At 44.6% G+C, this 21,000-nt stretch overlaps 1 protein-coding gene across 3 annotated transcripts, besides 2 other annotated features; it reads right to left on the bottom strand.

The window, feature by feature from the left end:
• Positions 1-1,694: 1,694 nt before the first annotated feature.
• On the bottom strand, positions 1,695-16,658 carry TAGLN3 (transgelin 3). Of its 3 annotated transcripts, none has more exons than NM_013259.3 (5): positions 16,466-16,658; positions 15,978-16,333; positions 14,634-14,808; positions 3,715-3,817; positions 1,695-2,170 (listed from the first exon to the last, which is right to left on the bottom strand). In NM_013259.3, exons 2-5 carry the CDS (start codon positions 16,155-16,157, stop codon positions 2,029-2,031), a joined length of 600 nt encoding a protein of 199 aa, NP_037391.2. In that variant the 5' UTR covers positions 16,158-16,333; positions 16,466-16,658; the 3' UTR covers positions 1,695-2,028. The 3 variants fall into 3 exon arrangements, with proteins under 3 accessions (NP_037391.2, NP_001008273.1, NP_001008274.1); NM_001008272.2 differs by having other exon boundaries at positions 15,978-16,159; NM_001008273.2 differs by lacking the exon at positions 16,466-16,658 and having other exon boundaries at positions 15,978-16,247.
• Positions 12,436-13,635: an enhancer, noted in NCBI's record as "P300/CBP strongly-dependent group 1 enhancer chr3:111720792-111721991 (GRCh37/hg19 assembly coordinates)". NCBI's record gives its function as "activates an origin of replication core promoter dependent on BRD2, BRD4, P300/CBP, MED14 and CDK7 cofactors, with strong dependence on P300/CBP, by STARR-seq in HCT116 cells {active_cell/tissue: HCT116}" and the evidence as "EXISTENCE:reporter gene assay evidence [ECO:0000049][PMID:35650434]".
• Positions 14,116-14,743: an enhancer, noted in NCBI's record as "NANOG hESC enhancer chr3:111719684-111720311 (GRCh37/hg19 assembly coordinates)". NCBI's record gives its function as "activates a minimal SCP1, AML or CMV promoter by ChIP-STARR-seq in naive H9 embryonic stem cells {active_cell/tissue: H9 hESC(naive)}" and the evidence as "EXISTENCE:reporter gene assay evidence [ECO:0000049][PMID:30033119]".
• Positions 16,659-21,000: the final 4,342 nt, after the last annotated feature.

Here is a 21,000-nt window from a genome sequence, read left to right as displayed (position 1 = left end):
TCAAATTTTTTCAAGAGCCTCGTCCCTAGGTTACAATTATTAGATACAACTGAAGGGATGGGAGTCTCCATGGGGGGGGGGGTTGCATCTTGTTGGGAGGAGAAATGTCCAGGTGCTGGCAAGTCTACCGGTGCTCTTTTTACCTGCTCCTCACTCCAGCTGGGCTCCAGCACAGCCCTGAACTTAGCAAGCTGATTCCTGCTGGCTCTGAACTAATTTTGCTGTTTTCTCACCTCTCTGTGTCACTGGTACAGCTAGGGCAATGTGGGAGCCAGAACACGGCACATCCTGAAAGTTCTCTCCCAATCCATTCCCTTCCTGATGGAGGCTATTTCCCTAGGGCTCCTACCCCCAATCCCAAACAGGGACCTAGACACCCTCTGTTTCTCCAGGACTTTCCTCCCAGTTTTATTTCACTTTTTGGGATCCATCGGCCTCCCTCTCTTACTTTTGTGGCAACTCCAAGGTGAGGTTTTAGGTAATAATTCAGCTGCCATGGCTGGGAGACATCTTTCTGGGAATAGGCAGTTCACTGGTAGCTGTCAAAGGGTCACTAGAACTTCTAGCAGATACAGTAAACTGCTTAGGTGACCCACAGGCCAATTTTCTTTAGCATAATGGTTTTTCCTTTTTTCTTTTACATTAAAGGTCTTTTTTAAATGTTATACTGAATCCTAATGTGTAATACAGATATATCAGAGCTGCTATGGTTGAAGCAGGAGTGGGGGCCCAGGGTTCTGCCTCCTCAGCAGCCCTGCCCCCACAGGGATCCCATAGGAACCTCTGGGTAAACCTAGAACTGCAGAGAACAAAGAGAGAACACAGTCCAAAAAACTACCATCCAAACATTTAGAGTGTGGCAATGTCTATACTTTCATCTATTTTATCTTTTTCTTGTTATCCATTATATGGATAAAATACCTTATTTCTTTTCTTACTAGATATATCACATGTTTTTTTTTCCTTGTTTCTACTGGTAAGAAAGAATAAGATGAACTGATAATCCCCAGGCTTTTTTGACCTTTTAATGTTTTCTATCCACGGGGAAAAAAATCTCAAAAACCTATTCATCTTAGGCAAATCGCAATACCAGGCAATATCCTAGGGTTTTCAGGGTTTAGACCCTTTAAATGACTTTAGGAGAGCAAACTACATTGTCTATAACTCCTGGATGATGAAAAAAACTGTATAAATGTCAGCATCGGACCTAGGGTCTCGTCTGTAAGAGGAAGATGAATGCTAGAGAAGTGAAAACTGCTCATTCATCCAGTCATCTACCCACCCATCCATTCAATAAAACCATCCACCCATCCATTCTTCCTTCCATCCATTCAACAGATACTTCCTGGGCACCTATACAAGAGCTTCTCAAGAAACCGGGCTTTGTCTCCCGGGCTGTGTCCTCTACAGGTCTAGCACAATAAGCACAAAGTACATGCTCAAAAACTTGTTGTGGTCAAAGACTTTGTTCTTGAACTTATGTCTCTAGGCTCTCAGAGTGGGCGAAATGACTCCTAAACTTTCTATTCCAATTGCCAAGATAAACGCGATAATCTTGCAAGAGCGTCCTCATAGCTAACCTATATTGCTCAGCTGCAGCTTAAGCTTAATTCCATCTTTCTGGCCTTTGAATGGAAGAGAAACCAGTCCGGACTGTGGAGTCCTTAAGAGAAAGAATGAACTTTACACTGTAAGACACAAGACTAATTACTTTATTAGGTGCATTCTATAAGTTGAAGAGGAGAATTTTTGGCAAATAAATAAATAAATAAATAAATAATCAAACAGAGACTCTGGGGCCCGAGGAGCTCAGGAAAACGGAAGCGGAGTCTTTGCATAGTTCTAAATGAACAGGAGGTGGCAGCAGTAGGCAACGCGGATTCTCGGCGGAAATGCAGCACTTGCAAAAACCAGGGACAGAAGGCTTTGAGAAAGAGGAGAAGGTCAGAAGGTGACTAACTATTTCTTTTTCGTAGAGACCATGGTGTGGAACATTCGTCCTCTCTACCAGGGGCAGGATGCCGCGTCCTACATGATCTGCCTGGGCATCCCGTACCCTGTCATGCCCGCCTGGGAGGCTCCCTTGTTGCTGCCCATCTGCAGGCCTATTACGTTCTGTCCCTGGCGAAGCTGCTCCTCGGAAAAGCCTCTCCGATTCTGCTGGGCTTTCCTGGACAAGGAAAGTGAGAGGGAATAATGTCATTATGACAGTTTTCCAATCCTTTTCAAGATATGCAATTAGACAGGCTCTGCTGGGGGTCCCCAAATAGATCAGCAGGTCCTACCCTGAGCTGTGGTTATGAGCTATGGCCCTACTCTGAGCTATGGCCCTACCCTGCACTGTGGACCTACCCTGAGCCGTGGCGCTACTCTGAGCTATCTCTGGCCCTAGCCTGAGCTGTGGCCCTACCATGATGCATGAGCTCCCTATCTTTTAGAAGCCCAGGTGTTTTCCAGAATTCCAGCAAAGAGTAGGGCAGAATCAGTGGCTACCTCTCTGGGGAATTCACTCTCAGCTTTTCTTGTTTCTCTTTCTCCCCACTCTCCCTTCTTCCCCCACCACTTTAGGCCATCTCAGACTTCTAAGAAGAAGCCTGCTTCTTCTTACCCTTTCTCTCACAGCTACGTCAAGCCTTTGTGAAAATTAAAATTGGTTCTTCTTACAAAGCACATCATTAATCCCATTCCCCCTTTCCCTGTATAGGGCCAAGATGAATATACCCTTTTAGAGCCAAGGGACCTAAGAGTTAATGAGGGGAAATGTCGCACTCTAGATTAGAGGTCTGCAAACTTTGGTAAAGAGCCAGATAGTACATAATTGTGGTTGTGTAGCCACATGGGAACACGGTAGTTCACTAATAATACAGACACTAAAACCAGGGTTTCAAATGGCCAACCTCTCAGAAGTTTTCAGGGCGAGTGTTCTTTAAAATGACATAAGCTGGTAACTTTTTTTTTTTTAATAACTGTCAAGGAGAAGAAAAGGGGATGCTGGAAATGAATAATCAATTATTTGCCACAGGGCACTCTTCTACAACTAAATTACCCAGTTTAAGCTTCCTGCCTACCCTACCCCCTGAAAAAAAAATCATTTTAAAAAAAGACCCTTTACTGAGAGATAACCATATAATTTGTCATCCGGACTAGGACGCTGTTGAGAGTGAAAGAGAGTTCTATTAATAGATATACTGGGACAACATAGATATTAACCATGACTGTTCCAAACAAACATGACATATTTACCCTTTATTAAGTACACAAACAAAAAAGAAGGAAGGAAGGAGGGAGGGAGGGAGGGAAGGAGGAAGGAAGGAAGGAAGGAAGGGAGGGAGGGAGGGAGGGAGGGAGGGAGGGAGGGAAGCAGCCAGGCAGGCAAGAAAGCTCAGAGCTGGCTTAAGTCATAATAAAGCCAAGTTCAGACATGAAGCCACCTTCAAGAAAGGCCATCCAGTCCTGCTGAGCCTCAGGAGAAACAGAACCTGGGTGGAGCTGGGAGGTATCTGGTAGAAAAGGCCCAACCATTTCTGCTCTGGTTAGGTTACTGGCCTGTACAGAAGCATCAGTCTTTCATTGCTTTGGGGAACTCAGTTGTGGAGACAGCAGTGCTTGGTCCTGGGGCTTTGCACATAAAGCCTCTGTAGAGTTCCAAGGCTTCAGACCCTCCCTCTGGTTAAAATCGCCTTGTGGTCCAGGGGGCAAGGAAGAGGCTTTTACCTGTGAAACCAGGATGGCTCTCCCCGATAGCAGCCATCATCCTTGGTGACTGCAACGCTGCCTAAAGCCATCAGGGTCCTCTGCACAGCTGCCATGTCCTTCCCTGGAAGCCAACAAAGAGCTTAAAGCCAAGCACGTGTCAGAGCCAAGGAATGCTGGAAGGATACGGCTGGACACCCAGGAGGGAAGTTCTGATAGAAGGCTGCAGGTGACCAGATTCAAGGGAGCAGTGCTATCAAACACCTCCCAAAGTGGCCCTAAGACAACCATACCCAAACTTCTCAGAAAGGAACAAAAAGTAACCTGGTTAATTATTCTCTATATGGTACATACCAGAGATACCAAGTTTCTAATCCGTTCATAGTTGCTGTATAAATAAAATCATCCATGTGCATCAAATTGAGTATTCACTTTGCTCTTTGGGCCAGAGGCCTGGCAAATGAAGAACAGCAAATCAACACAGAAAGCACTCAATGTGACACAAGTGATAGGGCCTTTATTTTGTGCCGCTTGAAAACAGCTAAATGGAGACAATAAACAACTGGCTTGTGTGTGACAGAGAGGAGAGCAAGGGAGAGGGATGTGCAGTGTGGCCCCTGCACAGTGGGATGGGGAGCCCTGTTACCTAAGCAGCCCAGTGACCATTAACCCATGGAGAAAGCAACTGGGCCTTACAACTCAGCCTTTCCTCCCATTCTTTCTCCTTTCTTCTCTTCCAGTTGACTGACCTGTCCTAAACTGAGAAGATGCTACTGAGGGGGTGGCCTGCAATTTAGAATCAGACCAAAAGTCCATGCAAGGCACCAGTGTGGAATACAAAAGCTAAAAAGCATAGGGTTAAAAGGGAAGGCAGCATCTAACCTGGCGGGGAACTGTGAAAGTTAAGGGCAAATATTAAGGCTCTCTTTAGACCTGGTGAACCGTCTGCAGTTTTTTGGCCCAGCTGCTGCAGCTCAGTCTCTGGGGAATACAGAATTACAGGGGAAAGGCAGATGGAAAGTGAGAATGGAGTATGAACTGTAATAAAATAAACAATTAAGGCCTTCAGAGGAAGTCCAGCTCAGGATCTTCATTTATTCGAAGAGGAGAGACAGAAAGCTGATCCTCTCTCCCCTCTACCCCCACCTCCCATGTTAACCACAGGGTGATTGCCTGAATCCTGAGGCCCTGTGGGACTGGTTGGTGAATACAAGGATAAAATGCTGTCAATGGATAGTCCCCCAGACTCAAGGAATAACTGGGGTGGTGGAGAATGAAGTATTTCAGAAGCAGACAGAAGGGAGAAGGCATAAGGAATATTCAGAACTAAGAAGAAACACAGAAGTTGTTGTTAGAATGACTCTTCCACAGGTGAAAGCATTTCTGTAATTGTCACCATATAATGGGACACTTTTTAAAAAATATAAATGTAGTAATGATATTCTGAAGGTTCATTCTGTGAAGAGATAGGGAGAGGACTTGCTCTTAGGCAGTGAACTATTAAAGGGAACCTAGAGAAATAAATGAGCAAAGGAAGGCTTAGGTTAGGGTATATCACTCATCTCTACTGTTTACAAAGAGCACCCTGGATACTTGTTTCTGGTGGTTGGAAAGAGCTATTCTGATATGTCCAGGATCTGGGAAAATGTGGGGCCTGACATCCAGCAGATCACCCACAGACACTACCCTGGAGCAACGGATGAAGAAGCAAAGTTTTATTAAACTATAGAACTAGACTCCTTCAAAGTAGCTAGTTCATCCCTGGTATCCCTGCATCTAGAAAATTCCCAACACTTAGTTCCCTACTTAGTTCCCTTTGTCCTTTCTGGGTTCATGTAGTAGTCTATATAACACTTCTTATATATAAGACTATATATAAGAACTTATAAGAACTAACACTTATATGTAAGTGTTATATATAACACTTCTTATATAGACTACTACATGAACCCAGAGAGGACAAAGGGAACTAAGTTGCCGGCTAAGATAAGATATCCAGGAGCCTAGAACTATCAACACAACTCCACCCTCATCCCAGGAGAGTGGAAAAGGAAGTGATTACACTTGAGAAAGAAGCCACTAGGGAAGCGGGCATTATTTGACAGGAAGAAATTGGAATTTTTTCCTTAAGAAACTTTCCAAAGCAAGATATTTGATGTAAATTATAGGGTAGACACTGTATATGTCATCTCAACCTCATGGAATTGGGATTATTCCTCCTCATGTGTGGACGAGAAAACTATTTCAAAGAGGTTAATTAACATGCCCAGAGTCACCCAATCAGTTAACAGAGCCCAGCTCTAGATCAGACCTGTCTGAATGTAAAGCCCTTGAACAATCCACCATGCCACTCTGCCATCTCCCATGGCACCCCATTGCAGGCTGGATGAGGAGCACATTCCTCAGTAGGAACCAGCGATCAGGGATGATCTGAAAGGGTCATGATGACTGTTTTGTGCCAGGCCAGAGGGGACACTGAGGGGAATAAAACTGGAGCACAGATTTCAGGCCCTGTAGAATCAAGGGCACCAACCTCAATGCCCATAAGTCTTTGAGTGTTTTTGTCTAGGTTTCTCCATGTCTTCATCCAAACAAGACTGAAACAAAGAAAAGCAGTTAGGGCCTCACTACTGATGTTCTGGCCAAGTGATATCATTTGGATGTTTTGTCCTCTCCAAATCTCATGTCGAAACGTGACCTCCAATGTGGGAGGTGGGCTTAGTAGGAGGTGTTTGGGTCGTGAGGGCAGATCCCTCATGAATGGCTTGGTGCTGACCTCATGGTAATGAGTGAGTTCTTATGTATGAGTTCACACAAGATCTGGCTGTTTAAGAGCCTGGCACCTTTACTTTCTGTCTCTTGCTCCCTCTTTCACCATGTGACATACTGGCTCCCCTTCGCCTTCCACCATGATTGTAAGCTTCTTGAGGCCCTTGCCAGAAGCAGGTGCCAGCACCACACTTCCTGTACACTCTGCAGAACCGTGAGCTAAAATAAAACCTCTTTATGAATTACCCAGTCTCAAATATTCCTTTAAAGCAACAAAAATGGACTAGTACACTAAGTTAATGATTGCCAAAATTCTAAATAACACTATGACCAGAAATCTGCCTTCTGGAACCAGTTCACATCTAGCTCACTTTCTTGTTATGTTATTCTTGTTATGTTTCCTAATTCCAGCACTCTTGGACTGACAAGATGGGAAGAGGGCCTCTTTCCAGCCTTCCCTGTCTTGTTTTGCCAGTTCAGAAGCCCACATCAAGCACCATTGGATGAGAGTGGCACACAGGAGTCAGGGCCACTTGTAGAAGCTGATTTCTGCAACTGGGGGTCAAAAATTTAAGTGCATAAAAAAGCGCTGAGGTTAAGGAAGCTCTGTGATGTGCACGAAGTATAAAACAACAAAAGGCTGGGCACAGTGGCTCACAACGGTAATTTCAACACTTTGGGAGGCTGAGGCAGGAAGACTGCTTGAGCCCAGGAGTTTCAGGCTGCAGTGACCTATGATTGCACCACTGCACTCCAGCCTGGGCAACAGAGGGAACCCCTGTCTCTAAATAACAATAAGATAAATGAAATAAATTTATAAACAAGAAAAGAAAACTAGTCGTATCACAACCAAGTGTCATATCTGCCTAATGACAAAGCCTTCAAAATTGTGCAAGTATAAAAAATGGCCATACACAGCCTGCTTTCCCAAGCTTCTTGGATTATTTATGGGAGTTTGCAGGGGGGCATCTCTTTTAAAATATGCATTTTGAGGTCATTCTCCTGAGAGAATGATTTGGTAAATTCTGGGAGTCCATATTTTTAATAAGCTTCCTGGGTGATTCATATCTTCAGGCAAGTTTGAGAGTTATAGGTGTTGCCTGGTGATTTGCAAGCTAAACTGATCTTCAGGATTACCCAAGAATCTTAAATATTCAGATTCTGGGGCAGTCTCCTGGGATGATTGTGAGGCAGCCAGATGGACAAGCAGATACTACTCTAAAGCTTTGGTTTTCAATGTTTAAAAACATCCCCATGTCTGCCATGTGGTAAGTACTAAGTAATATTTGTTAAGCAATAACTCCTTTCTTCAGAGATATCCTCCACAAAGTCAAAAGTAAAAGCGATAATTAGAAAAGCTCTGTTCCAAGTTGGAAGTCAGCCCAGAGCCCTGCAGCTTGGAATGGCTTTGCTCCCTGACAGCCACCCTGGATGCTTTGGTAGATGGCTGGGGCTCCTCAAGTGAGCTTGAAAGCCACTGCTCCAGGCCATTCTTCCAAGAACAGAAAAACATTCCTCAAAGAAGGATCAACTAAGTGTCGGGAATTTTCTGGATGGAGGGATAGCAAAAATGAGATAGAGTCTGGTTATCTAAGAGCTGGTGGAATCTGAAAAGCATACATACTGTATGATTCCTACTTTATGACATACTAGAAAAGGCAAAACTCTTGAGACAGTAAAAAGATCAGTGGTTGCCAGGGTTGAGGGTGGGAGGGATGAAAAGGCAAAGCACAGAAGCTTTTTAGGGCAGTACTTGATATGACACCGCAATGATGAATATGCGTCATTATACATTTGCCCAAATGCATAGAATGTATAACAGCAAGAGTGAACCTAATGTAAACTATGTATTTTGGATGATAATGATGTGCCAATGTAGGCTGATTACTTGCAATATGTGCTCCTTTCGTAGGGGATGTTGATAATGGGGAAGGCTGTGCATTTGTGGGGGAGAGAGGGCATATGGAAAATATCTGTACCTTCCTCTCAATTTTGCTGTGACCCTAAAACTCCTTGAAAATATTAGTCTTAAACAAAAAAGGAGCTGATGGTATGGTAGCTTTCTCTGTCTCACCTGGCAAGTGTTTTCAGCAAGAGTCTCACCTAGCAACTGACAGCTTTACTTGACAATACAGAGCTCCCTATTTCCTACATTGTCACAAAGTAATGTTATCCAAAGTGTGATCCTGCACCCCATATTACTAAGTTATAACTCCTGGGGAGTAGGACTGGAGGTTCTGCATTGTAAGGCCCCAACCCAGGAATTCTTAATGCTATAAAGATACTTTAACAAGGATTTTGTTCCATTAAATTCTTTATTACTTCCAAGGTATCTTATGTATGTCTATGAAAATAAAAAGTAAATGAAAAGGATAAAGGCAAAGAAAAAAGGTAAAAGAGAAGTCATTTGGGTGTGTCAACTTGGATTGGACAGTCTCTACTTTCTATTTCTACTTTTAATACAAAAAATCAGTCTTGCAGTCAAAGTTCTTTGTCTCAGAGCTATTATACTTCTATTATATATCAGTCTTGACTCAGCCTTGTAACTCTTAGAATACTGGATTTTTCCATCTTTCTTGGACTTACAGAGAAAGTAAGCAGTAGTGTATGAAACCATGTCTTATTTCCCTGAATAATAACTTTGGCCTAGCTTCCAATTCTCCACTGAAGGTAGACCAAAATATTGCAACAGTCAAGGGAGAAATATCAGGGGTGAGGTTGGGTTTGCTCTGTGGATTTTGTAAATGTTTGTTGCTTGCCTCCCTGACTCCCACTGCTCTGGGTGGTGGCTCTTACAGTGGGGTTCCCAGACCAGCAGAATCAATATGGTCTGTGAATTGGTAAGAAATACAAATTCTTGGCCTCACCTCAGACATATTACCTCAGAAACTCTGCTGTTGGGGCTTAGCAGTCTGTGCTTTAACAGGCCTACCTAGTGATTCCGATGCATGCTGGCATTAGAGAGCCATTGCTAAAGGAAAGACCCACCAAATACAATCGTCAGCAGCCACTTGAAATAAATGCAGTGACGGCTGCTCTGATAGAAAATGAGGCTTCCAGGCCAGGCGCGGTGGCTCACGCCTGTAATCTCAGCACTTTGGGAGGCCGAGGTGGGCGGATCACGAGGTCAGGAGATCAAGACCATCCTGGCTAACTCAGTGAAACCTCTTCTCTACTAAAAATAAAAAAAAAATTGGACCATCCTGGCTAACTCAGTGAAACCTCTTCTCTACTAAAAATAAAAAAAAAATTAGCCGGGCGTGGTGGCAGGTACCTGTAAGTCCCAGCTACTCAGGAGGCTCAGGCAGGAGAATGCCGTGAACCTGGGAGGCGGAGCTTGCAGTGAGCCGAGATCAGGCCACTGAACTCCAGCCTGGGCGACAGAGTGAGACTCCATCTCAAAAAAAAAAAAAAAGAAAAAAAAGAAAATTAGGCTTCGAGCAGCAGACACTTGTGATGTCTCAAGTCATTACAGGTACTTTACTTACAATATCCCAAAAGATCTCTCATGCTGTGTGAAATACCTCTTCACTCTTGCTGTTGAGGAATGACACATAAAGTGACGCCTTCCCAGAGAATATATTTGAACCTCCAGGCCCTTCCAATGTAAACCACACCTCCCTAACTCCCAGTCATCAAAGGGGGAACAGGCATGACATCACCATGTGTTCAGGATCCATACCAGTAGAATTACTAAGAAGAGCCATGAGACTGATCGATCTGTGAGTCTTGCCTGCTCTGACATTCTAGAATTTTATACGTTTAATGCACATCAAGTGGTTATACAAATGAACCAAAAAGATCAGTTGCTGAATGACTAATAGTGTGGGGGGGAAAGCCAACATTTATTAGGTGTCTGGTAGCCAGGCACTGTGCTAGCTTCTTTACATAGTTAATCCTTACAAAAATTCTACAAAAGAGAGGCATTAGAACTGTTTACCGAGAAGGGAACTGAGGCTCTGAGAAACTAGGCAATTTAAACAAGGTCACACAGTTAGTATGTAGCAAAAGAGATTTGAACCCATCCACCTGACTCCAAAACTCATGCTCTTTCCAGTGTAGTGGGGTCTTCTGTGTCTGGAATTAGTAAAGCAGTAAATTATGGGGAAAGACATCAAGAGGGTAATGATCACAAAGTGGAAAAAAATGTCAATAAAGTGATGCCTAAAGCCTGGTCATTTGTATTAGAGAATATCTGATGAGGTACAAGCTCCACAGCTGTCAGAGAGGGCAAAGGTCATTCAGGCAACCTCCCCCGCCCCCGCAACACCAGCTCCTGTATGTGGCCACTAAGTCCATTTGTTCTAAGACAGAGTGAGTGTCTTTCCAGACTTACTTTTCCCTCCCTTATTTTCTGTTAATCTTAGAAAAGACAAGCCAATGACAATAATAATTTCTACATTACCAACTTTTATTATCTTCTACTATCATCATGAACCATGCTAAACACTTCTAATGAACTATCTTGTTTACTTTCCATATCAACCCTGTGAAATACATATGATTATCCCCACTTTACAACTGAGAAAATCGAGGCTTAGAGAAGTTAATTGATAAGTGGTAGAGCACAGGTTTGGCCAGGCAGTCTAATTTCTGACTCAGGAGCCTGTACTCTCCTGTAATACTTTCCAGGATAAGCTTGTATTGCAGTCTTTCTGTCCTGATACTACACCAGCACACTCACTTGCTCTAATATGTTCTCTCTCTCTCTTACACACACCCCCCGCCCCCCACCTTTCTTGCTCTGCCTTTTCTTCCTTTCCCACTTTCTGTCCACAGAAAAGATGCTGAAGTCTTACCTGCAGAGTACTTTCTTCTGAATCATAGACAGCTGAGATGGCCCCACCCCTGCCCTTTCCAGGGCACCCATGGCAAATCCAAAAGTAATCTGCCAGGCCATTCACCTTCTGTTTTCCAAGAGAAGACTTCCCAGGCCCCTTCCATTCCTCTAAGCCACCCTACTTCTTCTCCATCACTGAAAGCAAGTGGTCACCCCAGCTCCCTGCTAGGGGGACTTCAGTAGCTTTATCTATAATGTCCCTGTGATTGTGTTGTTTTTCTGGACCATTTAGCTTTGGGTTTCATTTTAAAGCCTTCAATCTTGTATTCCAATTACCCTGCAGTCTATCTGAAGTATTTCACCTGGGGGGATTAAGGATAGTGGTACATCTGGGGCCTCAGCCTATAGAAGTGATTGAAGCCTAAACAAGAATGCATTTGGCAAGCCTGGGCTCCTCCAGACTTACGGGTTTGCAACATCCAGGCAGCCTGAAGAGTCAGAGGGCAGCTGTGGGCAAGCAGAGCCCTACTTGGGAGAAGACACTGAGTAGGGGAGATGGGAGAGTGAGAGGTTGGGCATGAAATACTTGCAGAGGAGGAAAAGAAGCTCCTAGGCAAGGAGGGCTGGAGCCACAGTGGCCACAGACACCACAACCAAGGTGCAGGGAATCCAGAATTAATGTAAGTTGATATGTGAGGACAGCATTAAAACCACAGTCAAGGTAGAGAATAGTAGGGAGAATGTGGGACTAAGCTAAGCAAACAGCTAGTCTAATAGCTGTGTGCACAAACATGTACCCCCTCACATGCACATAGACACATAACACGTGCCAACCCTGCCCCGCAGCATTCCTTTGATTTCAGCTTTCTTATGCCAAAACACATGAGCAACAACCAGTTCTTGCAGAAAGGACCCCAGCCTCACTTGCTCAGTCTGCTCTGCAGTACTGTCAGCCTTCCCCTCCCTCTTCCTGCTTCTCTGCTCAAAGCGACCCACTTTTGTACCTCCTGCCCTGTTGTATGGTGACCAGCATTGGCCTAAGCTTCAGACAGTGATCCTGGGGAATATCAGATATCCCCTCCAACTTATAATGAATCTCCCTGGACTTTGGCCATTCCATAGAGTCAGCCACCAGACCCTGGGGCCTCTTGGGGCCATTTGGAAACTCTGAAGCACCTGCTTTCCTATTGACAGCTCTCCTGTTCAACCCTACCTACTGCATGACCTACCTACAGTTCTTCCTGCTACCTGTCAGCCCAGGTGCCCTTGGAGTGGACCTCCTTCCTTATTTCCTTTAAAGCCCCATTTTTCTACCCTAGGGCTGGGAGTCTTAGTGTCTGTCTTGTTGCCCTGGAGCTGACTGGTCCACGGCCCTGGCTCAGGCGACCACACTCATCCCTCCAGGCCTCCCTCTTTCTTTAGAGGAGTCTAACACACGGGTCTGGGGCAGGTGGTGTATACCTCCTCCGACTCTGTACATCAGGGACTATTTCTCCCTACACTCCTCCACACTTGCTGTGAGCACCTCTGACGAGTAAAGTTTACCTTTGTGTTCTTTGTAAAAAGGGGAGAGACAAGTAAAGCATCCTCAGTAGCATGAAGACAGGAAAGCTCTCAGAATCCTCACCTCCCACAGACCTCCTGGCTTCTTCCTCCTCCCACACACTTCCTGCACTTTGTGGGGTGGGGGGGGGACTCACCCGGGTCCCTTCCATTCACACTGACTCTCCTATCCTTCTGTCCTACACAGTCCTGAGTCATCTTCCTCCTCCTCACCTCCTCCCCCACCTCCTCTTCATCCTCATCACCTAGTCACCATTATGATTCAACAGCACACTCACGGTGTAGGTGAAGGAAACTAAGCCTCCTGGCTCAAGAATGGGTTGGCAGACTAGTTAAGGCTCTATTCTTTGCTGTCAGAGAGCCCAGGTTTGAATTCTGGCTCTGCTATCTCATGGACACAAGAAATCATGGGCAAGCTTCAGTATCATCATCTTTGAAATGGGGAAATTAAAAAACATTTACCTCATAGGATTGTTAGCAGAACTGACTGACATTATGCAATAAAGCACTTGTACAATGCCTTGTGCATAGGAAAACATCAATAAGCAGTAGCTATGTAGCTATCTGTATTAGCTAGAAAAAATCATCATAGTTTTGATCGAGGAAGCAAGGATCAAATCTCAACTGTGAAATTACATGAGAATTTGGAGGCTCAACAGCAAGATCCATAGCCTGGCCTGGCCTGCAGTTTTGAATATCTGAGTTTCTAAATAATGGCAAACCACAAGGTAAACTTATTAGCATCGTAGGATTTTAACCACTCACCTATGAGGGAAACATGCAATGCCAGCTCTTTGCATGACGCCGAGGATTAAGGAGGCAATTGTTTCTTTATAAATCATAGTGTGGTGAGTAGTAGAATGGTCCTCTGCTAGAAATCTATTTCAACCATCATCTGAATACCCTTTAAAATACCATGTCTCTCCATCAGGGGAAAGCTACCCCATTCTCACTCTCAGCAGAGCCATTTGGGTCACTGCCCTGGGGATCCTGTTGGTTGGGCCACTAATGACAGCCAGTGACAAAGAGCATGTGAGAGCAGAGTCAATCTGACAGTCCTGCTCTGACTAGTTGGTATCTCTTGGTGCCTCAGGCAGGCCTAGTGGAGAAGGAACACAGTCATATGGTTGGGTATACACATTTTCGCTAAAGGGGACATTAACGACACCATGACCATAGGTCCCAAATTCTCTGGCAGTGTCTCCATTCACATCATTTCCCCCAGTAATGGCAGATCATTAAATACATCCAGGAGTGTGATTTGATTTTTATGCTTTTGTAAGATTTCCTCAGCAAGTCAATTCACAAATGTGAAGGAAACAAGCACTTGTCACACTGAGCAGAATGCATATCTGGAAGGCATAGTCACCAAGCTCCCAGATAAAGGTTTAACAAAAGGTTGGAGTGCTATCTATTTCTCAGATTGACAAAATAGCCCCAGATGGCTTTGTCTATAAGCTGCAGTTGAGCAAGAAGCACACTGGCCCCCTGCCTCCCTTCTCCTCTGGTAGCTGTGATTTGTTATGGGAGTGGTAAGAGGAATAAAAGGCAGTATGTCACCGTTAGCTTCCTCTAGCTTGAGGCTTCTGTTTACATTAGTTGCTGAGATCCCCTCTGTGTCCTCAGGGTGTGTGTTCCATTAGAAGAGGGTACCTCCTTTTAATAGAACATAACAATGGGGAAGGCAAACACTGCCCCCAGGATAACAGCTGAGAGCATCTTACACACATCAATCGGCACAGGGAAGAACACTGTGAGCAGTTTTTACAAGGAGATGGGGCAAAGGAGAGAAGAAAAGAACAATCCCAAAGGCCAGGGGGCTGTTTACCTTCCCATAGATCCACCGTCTGAAAGATGTCGGTGGTTCTGACACCATAGGTCTCCGCAGCTTTTAGGAACTGGGAGATTTGCTCCATCTGCTTAAAAGCCATCTTTGACTCTGAGATCTTGGGTATGGGCTCTTGTCCTGGTGGGTATAAACTATTTATCAGCTTGCACAGGACCTGAAGAGGGAGGGGAGAGACAGAATCAATGTTTCCCTTTGTATTTACAGGTCAAGAATGAGAAGTGAATCCTGCTCACGTGGGACACTGCTCATCCAGTTTGGGCAGGAGCAAGTCATGGGCCCTAGGAAGGCACGGGCTCTGGGCTGTGTAGCCAGGCTCCTATACTAAGCCCCAAAGACCCAGAGGACCCCATTCCTAATGCTGCTCCTTACTACAGAGATTCCTGTAGCCTGGGAGCGCCATTCCCTCCCTGTTCCTCCCTTCCTTTTTCTGGATGAGGGAAAGGATGTTTACAGATAGGGAATGATGTGACGTGATGAGGACGTGATTCTAGACTTTCAAAGGAGGAATGACTTAGTGGCTCCTGAGGTTGGCAGAGCTCAAATGATAGAGTCTAATATTATTTCTTCTATCAAAAGGCAAATTAAGCAGGCTTCAATTTACTCATCCCATATATTTTAACAATGTGTAAAAGAAGTGGATGTGGTACCTTTTTCCCAGATATATATATATAACCCAAGCTCTGGGCAACCCAGCAGAAGCATTGGATAGCAGTTATGTAACAGTAAATCACAGACTGCAGGAAAGGATGGGCTTGTTTGAATCACAGAGCCTGCGGCCCTCAAACCCTCAAACACACACGAGCATTTGGTCAGAAATGCAGTTAACAAATAAGGACTCCTTTCAGTTTCATGAGAACGCATCCACTCAATAAACAGACACTGAACACTTCCAGGGTGCATGGCTCCCACAAGAATGTGAAGGTGGCTAGTCCCCCTCCTCCCTTCTTTGTTTTACTGTGTAACCAACACGATCCCCTAGGGAAAGAAATGGCCCCAGAAGAGCTGATGCACCAGGAAGGCTGGGGAAATTACAAGGACATACTTATCTCTATTCTCATTAGAAAAATCAAAAGGGCTTCGAATTTGCCAACTCAGAAGGGAGATGTAATGCTAGGGTGAGTGGAGAACCCCCAAGCTAGCTAGGGAATAGTGCATGGAGCCCAAATCTTCCAACCCTGAAGAAATAAAGGCATTCTCATCCCCTCCCGGTGAGACATAGAGCTTGGCAACAGCAGCTCTTCCCGCAGCCTTACGTTAAAAGAAAGGGCCCTGGAGGGTTTCCCTGCCCACCGCCCCAGCAACCGAGATCGCTGCCGGCCTTACCGTCCCGTCCATTAACCATTTCTGAAAATGGGCCCTGCCGGGGGGCGGGTGCTCTATGTCCTCGGCGCACTGCAGGATGATCCAGTCCACCAGCTTGTTCTCCAGGTCCGCATCATACTTCTGCTCGATCTTCTCCTGCACCTCTCGGCTTAAGCCATAGCTCGGGCCCCTGTTAGCCATCTCTGGAAAGAAGAGAAGACACGCGCGGCATCCACACAATAGCAGCAGCAGCAGCCTCCGGCTCCCTGCAGACGGGGCTGGGATATGGCTGGGCAACCTGGCCCAGCAGCAGCAAAGAGGGCAGAAAGCCGGGCGTGGTTTAAATCAAGGAGCCAATGAAGCCAATGGGGTTTCACCTACAAACGGGAAAGAAAAGCACAGCTACCCGCCAGTAACTCTAGAATAAACCTCCGGCCGGTCCAGGGGGGCTGGAATCCCCCTCCCTATCCCGCCTATCAATGAGACCAGATGATATAACACGGACTCACAATCAAGTCTGAACCCCCAGGCAGCAAGGGGGATGGGTGGCGGACGTTTCTTCCCCCTTCTCAGTAGCACTTTGCAAAGGCAGAAACGATGAGATCGGGAAGAGCAGGTAATTAGCAGGCAGGGAGGAAGCCTCCTTTCATGTTGAACTGCAGCCGCTGCTGCCTCGCGCCTGGAAGAATGGCACATTGATTTGATTTTCTCATGGCTGAGGGGGCTCAACCAGGGCCGTTGCTAAGAGCCCTCCAAAAAGCCAGCCCTCTCCTGTGTCAATCAAGCCCGCCTGCCTCCCTCCCGCTGAGAGCCTCTTTCTCATCTGCACAATTCTTTCCCTCTTCTGGGGAGACAGCCGATTGTCTACGAGGCCAGCAGCTGCACAAGGGGATGAGGGCCTGTGGGAGGGTCCGTTCTACCAACTGTCCATCTGTCGGGAATAGCCAAGCTACTTTCCCCCTGCCCTGAGGTAACAACTGTCTGGCAGGACAGGAGGGGAGGGACTGAGAGCTGCTATCATTTACTTGTTCAGCTGCCAGCCCAACTTCACCCAGAAACTTCCATCCTGAAACTGTTGTGCCTCAGTTTGACTTATTCAAGGGAGGTATTTTTTTCATGCTACTCTTAACTGAAAGACACTAAGAACAAGTTTTATAAATTATTATTATAATTCTTACTATATATTTTTAGACAGAGTCTCGCTCTGTTGCCCAGGCTGGAGTGCAGTGGCACAATCTCGGCTGGCTGCAACCTCTGCCTCCTGGGTTCAAGCGATTCTCCTGCCTCAGCCTCCCAGGTAGCTAGGATTACAGGTGTGTGCCACCAGGCCTGGCTAATTTTTGTATTTTTAGTGGAGATGGGGTTTTGCCACGTTGGTCAGGCTGGTCTTGAACTCCTGACCTCAGGTGATCTGACTGCCTCGGCCTCCCAAAGTTCTGGGATTACAGGCATGAGCCACCACGCCCGGCAAGTTTTATAAATTAAACAAAACTCAACGACTAAGAACTCTTAGAGTGAAAGGTTTTGATAGAATGTAAAGACTTCATCTGAAGTAAGGACCGTGAAGGCACAACCGACATATTGTCAGAAGTAACTGAATATTTCTCATGGGCAAACAAGCACTCAGGAGAAACCATTAGCTCTAAGTTGGCCCCACATTTTTATAACAGCTAAAGGGCTTGGCAGTTTGTCCTCCTAGACTGTAAGCCATTTGTGGGTAAAGATTGAGTCTCATTGGTGTTGTGTAATTCTCTGGGTGTTTTTCATGAGAAAAATTCCACATTTTTTTTCGTTTGGTTCATTTCTTCATTCAACAGATATTTACTGAGTGTTTATGCCAACTACTGGACTGAGGAGGAATAAAATACAATTCTTGCATTGAAAACAGATTGATAAATTGACTCAAGCATATTAAATAAAGCAATTCTGGGTACATGGGATGATGATCTTTGTCCCTGTGGGAAATTGATTAGAAGCTATGCAGGAAATGACTCCTCAAATAATACATGTATTGAGAAAAATCTCCTACCGGCTGATGCCTGGACTAATGAAAATTTAATTACTTAGGAGATATGTGGGTGGTTTGCCTGAAAAAGACTTAGCGGTCAGTCGTTGAAGGCCTGGCAGACAGTCCTCTGAAAACAGAAAACTAGGAGATTCAGGAGAGCAGTAGGTTTAGGAAGAGACAAGGGAAGGGCTGACTAAGGCAGGTCTTGATGCTGCATGGAATCATCAGTTGAAGAAGCTCAAAAGACAGCAGCACTGTGTTGGGACACTTGGAGCTTAGGGGAAGAGCTTAGAGCAGGGAAATTGACAGAAGAATTATGGAAGTCATCATTGGTATCTTGGGGAGGAGCCATAAGGCTAGTTCCAACCTTAGACTAAGGGAACGGAGTCCCAAACAGAAACCACATAATTTTTTCCATGGCTGGAATGGCTCTAAGGAAGTTGTTGGTTTGATATGCAAAGCTTGAAACAATTCTAAAGATGTACATTTGCTTGACTTTTTTTAAACACTGTGTTTTGCAAATCTTTTGTACCCAAAGAGTCCCTCATATTATAACAGAGTAGCTGGTGTGCTTTAAGTGAATGACTGGGCCCATGCTTCTAGAGAGGATACAATGGCAAAGAGAGGGGCCACAGCAGGGCATGGAAGTGTCCAGAAATCCAGAGGAAGTCTTCAGAGAAAAAATGCTTCATCTCCTCAGGGGTGACAGTGGAAATCAGCTCAATGCCACATTTACTAAGTGCCTACTAGTATTATAGTTAATGTTTTCAACAACTTTTTCTTTCTTTTTTTTTGATTCGGAGTCTCACTCTGTGGCCAGGCTGGGGCGCAATGGTGTGATCTCAGCTCACTGCAACCTCTGACTCCCTAGTTCAAGTGATTCTCCTGCCTCAGCCTCCTAAGTAGCGAGGATTACAGGCATGAGCCACCACAACTAGCTTATTTTTGTATTTTTAGTAGAGACGGGGTTTTCACCATGTTAGCCAGGATGGTCTCAATCTCCTGACCTCGTGATCCGCCCGCCTCAGCCTCCCAAAGAGCTGGGATTACAGGCGTGAGCCACCGCGCCTGGCCTCAACAACTTTTTAAGGGCCTATGTGTATAGCTGAGACACAAAAATAAATGATACATGACAATTTGGTTTAGTAACGAAGTTAAACTTGTAAACAATAAATGCCAGATGTCATGCTAAAATTATGCACAAAGAACTCAGGTTGGTACAATAATACCTGGAGGAGGGTGTTAAGGAATCAGGGGACAGATTTATAAATGAGATTATTTTAAGTCTTGAAAGACAAGTAGGTGTTTGCCAGGTGGATAGAGTGAGGCAAGAGGGGTAGGGAATGTTGCTGTCAAAAGAAGTGTATTTAAGGTGAAAATCTTCCAGTATTAATAAAACATAGGGTTAAAGAGAAGAGAAACATAGAAAGAAAAATGAGGCTGGAATGTCAGGCAGGCTCCAGATTATAAAATGGTGTGTTTGCAAGTGCCCATGGTTAAATTTTCAGGAATTTCAAGAGACAGATGCTAAACTCAGTCATTCTTAGCAATAAGGTTATATTAACTTACTCTTAAATAAGTTATATTACAAAGAAAAGTTACTAAAAATGAAGCACTTCCTGATTTTTTTGCTACATTTTACTGTTAGCTATGTTGAGGATATTTGCGTTTATTGTCTCTATATGGTGTAAATACTATGTGATGGTGTGCTACTGGGTATTTTCTTCCAGCTTTGCATTCAGAGATGTCATGATGTAGTTTAAAACCAGCCAGGGCAGGAATATTTATGCTGTGAATGTTAGCAAATGCTACAAATCAGGGCTTCCACCCCACCACCAAAAGCCAGTTGTTAAACTGGCTTTCAGCAACTGGTTTTTGTTTGTTAAACCAGCCTTTCATGGACTCACATATCATGCAAGAGTTTGAGCTTTTTCATAGAGAGAGAGGATCATCAATCTGATTTGGGTAAAGGAAAAGGAGACAGAATGACTCACAAGTTTGACTTGTATAACAGAAGCAATGGTGGCGCCATTTATTTTAAGAGGACTCATAGGTGGGGAGAGACATAAAGCAGAAAAGATAATAAGGTTTGGATTTACTGCATTTGGGAAGCCCATGGTCCATCCCAGTTCATTAGGCAGTTGGTTTTATGGGTCTGGAGCTCAAGAGTCTAGATTGTAGGTATGTAGTTGAGTCACCTGCAAGCAGGTAGTAGTTTAAACCATGAACATGGGTGATGTTCCTCAAGGTGAATAAGTAGCAAGAGAAGACTGCCAAGGCCAGAACTCAAGGAGTATTAACATTATAAGGTGGGCAAGGAGGAGGAGCCAGTAAAGGGGTTGATATAGCATAGTCAGAGGTGTCTGAGGACAAACAATGTCAAAATAAAGCTTCTGACCTTGGTCATCCTTTGAGAGAAGGAAGCTAGGATATAAACTGAGAATTTCAAAGCAGCAAGTGGTACCAAAAAGGCATGGATAGAGTACTGTTCACAAGAGAGCCCAGAGGACCCAGCAACAAACTTCCTGAAAAAGAGAGATGGGGATGAGTAAGGAAAGGATTCTGAGAGACTGACTTTTGAGCTTCTTCTTTAGTAGAAGTTTACCTGCAAAACCCTGAAAGCCTAGGAAAAGGGGAAGACAAAATGGGAATGTATATTTTCCCCAAAAGATACATTTGGTTAAAAAAAATTGCCTGCAATTTTCTAGGTATATTCTCTAAATACACCAAAGCATCACATTTTTTTCATCCAACCATTACACATCTCCACGATTGTTTCTAAACTAAGAAGTACTTGAGATCTATATTTAGAGGATCTTAAAAAGGTATATTGAAATTCCACCCACCTCAACCCCAGAATATAAAAATTCTTTAGATTTAACTGTTCCAAATTTAATGAGTATTTGACATATTCGCTTTGGGGACTATCCTGGGAATAGTTATGTGGCAAGTAATTCTTTCAGCTTTCTATCTCCATATTTTATAAAACTCAGTGTTGCCCAGAGCTTTTTTCTTCTCATTCTCCAGAGACGTTTC

The sequence above is a fragment of the Homo sapiens genome, chromosome 3 (assembly GCF_000001405.40).
Source record: "Homo sapiens chromosome 3, GRCh38.p14 Primary Assembly".
NCBI classification, from domain to species: domain Eukaryota; kingdom Metazoa; phylum Chordata; class Mammalia; order Primates; family Hominidae; genus Homo; species Homo sapiens.
This window is presented reverse-complemented; position numbering and strand designations above follow the sequence as displayed.